Source organism: Homo sapiens, chromosome 1, assembly GCF_000001405.40.
Source record: "Homo sapiens chromosome 1, GRCh38.p14 Primary Assembly".
Lineage (NCBI taxonomy): Eukaryota > Metazoa > Chordata > Mammalia > Primates > Hominidae > Homo > Homo sapiens.
Genome location: NC_000001.11, coordinates 144639482 through 144643010, shown reverse-complemented (window position 1 = coordinate 144643010; position 3529 = coordinate 144639482). Strand labels below are relative to the sequence as shown.

General features: G+C 53.2%; 1 annotated feature.

Moving 5' to 3' along the window:
- Positions 909-1203: a silencer, noted in NCBI's record as "tiled region #1883 duplicate 3; K562 Repressive non-DNase unmatched - State 22:ReprW". NCBI's record gives its function as "represses a minimal TATA promoter and a strong SV40 promoter by Sharpr-MPRA in K562 cells {active_cell/tissue: K562}" and the evidence as "EXISTENCE:reporter gene assay evidence [ECO:0000049][PMID:27701403]".

The window sequence follows — 3529 nt, the reverse complement described above, 5'->3', positions numbered from 1 at the left end:
TGCCCGCCACGGCTTTTTACCCCCCGCCGCCGCAGCTTTTTGCCCGCCGCGGCTTTTTGCCCCCACCCTGCCTCGGCTTTTTGCCCGCCGCGGCTTTTTGCCCCCCGCCGCTTTTTGCACCCCCGCCGCCGCGGCTTTTTCGCCGCCGTGGCTTTTCCCCCCTGCCCCCGCGGCCTTTTACCCGCCGCAGCTTTTTGCCCCCCGCCGCCGCGGCTTTTTGCCCCCACCCCGCCTCGGCTTCTTGCCCACCGCGGCTTTATACCCCGCGCCGCCGCGGCTTTTTGCCCGCCGCGGCTTTCTGCCACACACCCGCCGCCGCGGCTTTTTGCCCCTCTGCCGCCGCGGCTTTTTGCCCCACCGCCGACACAGCTTTTTGCACACTCGCCGCCTTGGCTTTTTGCCGCCGCGGCTTTCTGCCCCCTCGCTGCCGCGGCTTTTTGCCCCTCCGCCACCGCCGCTGCTTTTTGCCCCACCGCCGCCGTGGCTTTTTGCCCGCCGCGGCTTTTTGCCATCGCGGCTTTTTACTCGCCACGGCCTTTTACCCGCCGCGGCTTTTTGCGCCCCGCTGTCACGGCTTTTTGTCCCCCTGCCACAGCGACTTTTTCGCCGCCGCGGCGTTTTGCCCCCGCCGCCGAGGATTTTTGTCCCCGCCGCCACGGCTCTGAGGGCGGGAGCGGCAGACTCGGCTGCCAGCTCTACTGGCGTCCTGGCAAGGGCAGCGCTGAGGGGTGCTCCTGGTCCAGCTCTCCTGGCTCAGGGATTCCTTGCCTAGGCGCCGGCGCCCCAGGCTCCTTGCCTAGGCCCCTGTGGCCTGCATAGAGTGGCGCTGCCTGTGGAGGCGATGGGAGAGAAGAAGGAGGGCGGTGGTGGGGGTGATGCGGCGGCCACGGAGGGTGGCACAGGGGCTGCGGCCAGCCGGGCGCTGCAGCAGTGCGGGCAGCTCCAGAAGCTCATCGTCATCTTCATTGGCAGCCTGTGCGGGCTGTGCACCAAGTGCGCTGTGTCCAACGACCTCACCCAGCAGGAGATACAGACCCCGGAGGTAAGGGGTTCGGGGACCCGGGCTGGGCTCCAGGAGCGGCCCGGACACCTCCTTCGGGGCCCCAGTTCACTCCTGGCCGAGTTGCATCTTTGAGCCCACGTCACCCCCTTGGAGGCTTCCCCTCCCTCCTGCACTCGCTGATGCGGCAGCCAGAGGACCCAGGACCAGCCCTCACCTTGGGCAGGATTTGTGGAGCGGGTGCGTGGTGGGAACTGGGATGGAGGCTCCAGGGTCCCGTGGGGGTGGGGGTGGGCTGCGTGAGGACATCCCCTTACCCCCTGAATTTCCATCTGGTCCAGCCCTCTCATCTTGTAGGTGAGGAAACCGAAGGCCTGAGGGAGAAATGACTTGCCAGGAACCCCTGTTAAGGAAAATTAACAAAGTGTGGTTATTAAAGAAGAACTGAGTTGGGAGTCAGACCTGGAGGCCCGCACCCGTGGTTAAGACATTATACCACCTTGAGTCTGGCCTGTTGACTGAGGGTGAGCCACTCCATCCTCATGTGATTGTGGGGTCTTAACCTCAAGGGGTTTCCTGCAGGAAGAAGCAAATGGGTTTGCTTTCCTAGCTCTGTCCAGTACGTTAGGGACCCTGAGGACTGAAGAGATTCTTGGAGAGCCATCTGGTGTATGTCATGGGTGGGTCTTTTTGGAAGGTCAGTCTGCCCAGTGGGCTGGCTCAGCCCAAATGAACTGTCTTGAATCTTTGGAGTTGTCTGTGTACTTTTAAGGGCTTCTCAGCCTTGCACCAAAAGATCCCCCTGGAAATTAGGTGGGAAAAACCTTAACTTTTGTGGGGCCTTGTGTTTGTCTTAAAAGTTCATGCACATAGCCAGGTGTGGTGGCTCCCACCTGTTATCCTTTCCTGGATCCCTTGAGTCAAGGAGTTTGAGACCAACCTGGACAATATAGTGAGACCCCATCTCTACAAAAAATAAAATATTAGCCAGGGGTGGTTGTGCGCATCTGTAGTCCCAGCTACTACTGTGGCTGAGGCGGGAGGAGCACTTGATCCTGCACTGAGCTCTGATCTCACCAGTGTACTCCAGCCTGGGCCACAGAGCAAGACCGTGACTCAAAAAAAAAAAAAAAAAAAAAAGACAAGAAAAATTCTTCAAGATTTTGCATTCTGTCCCACTACCCATTGGTTTTCATGTCAAGATAATGTCAGAAATTCTTTACAATTGCTTCCAGAAGGAGTAGCCTTTTGATCTGGTGCACAGGTGTCCAGTCTTTTGGCTTCTCAGGGCCACATTGGAAGAAGAATGCTCCTGGGCCGCACATAAAATACACTAATGCTAACAACAGCTGATGGGGTTAAAAAAAAAAAAGTTTTGTGCATAATTTTCATGCTACCCACCACCACAGATAGGTGGAAAAGTCCTTGTAGGCAAAGGGTTGGACACGGCTGATCTAGTGTCTTGTCGTCCGTTTTGGCTTTCTCCCTGATTCCAGAATGCAGGTAGAGATGTAGAGACATGCTCTCAGGACAGCTGTTGAGATAAAAAAATTCGTTGTCATTTATTCCCAAGCACAGCTGTTTCTCATTGCATTGAAAAAGTCTCCATTCAAACTGCTGTCACATATAAAATCTATTTATGTAAGTCTGTATTTTTCTGTTGTCTTGGCCTTTGTAGGCAGTAGTGTGTTTTAACCGAGCAAACTGTCCTTCCAAATAATGAAGCCGAAGTCAGCCTACCTACTTGCCATTTTTCTTCCCCTTCCATTTTTGTAACCTCAGAATAATTGTAAGAATGAATTAAGATTTGTGTTTAAGGCCAGGCACAGTGTCTCAGGCCTGCAATCTCAGCACTTTGGGAGGCGGAGACGGTTGTATCGCTTGAGCTCAGGAGTTGAAGACCAGCCTGGGCAACATACTGAGACTCCGTCTTGTATAATTTAATTAAAATTGAAAAAAAGAAGAGAAAAAGACCTGTGTTTAAAATTTAAAAAAAGGGGGGGAAAGTGTAATGCAAAATGTGGACTATGCCAGCTATGATTGGGAAAACTAGTTTTTCATACAGCATTATCTGTAGACTTGTATTAGCAGCATACTGGTCATAAGCGTTTTGCTTTCCTCAAATATGATGAGGCAAGCTAATTTAAAGTGTGTTGGGGCTTTCTGCCGCGTGGCTCCTGGAGGTGTTGAGTCCCAATTTAGCCAATTAATTTAGGTTTAGTTTTGACGTGGATAAGGGAGACCAGCTTCATTCATGGTGTACACACAGTTTTGCGAATAAGGAAAAAATAAAAAGCCACCTGAATGTTCCTACTCATTAGATGCTATCTGGAGAGCTCCTACCCCACCCTCACCAAGGCCCGGGCCATTAAAAAGACTCAATGCAGCCTTTCTGTATCTCATACTGTATTCTGCAAGATACTCCTCTGAAAGAAAGTTGTGCTGCATCAGCCATCTCCCTCCTGAAGATCCCTGCGGATGAAGATTTCTGTTTTGAAAGTTCTGAGAATTCCTGCAACAACAATTCTC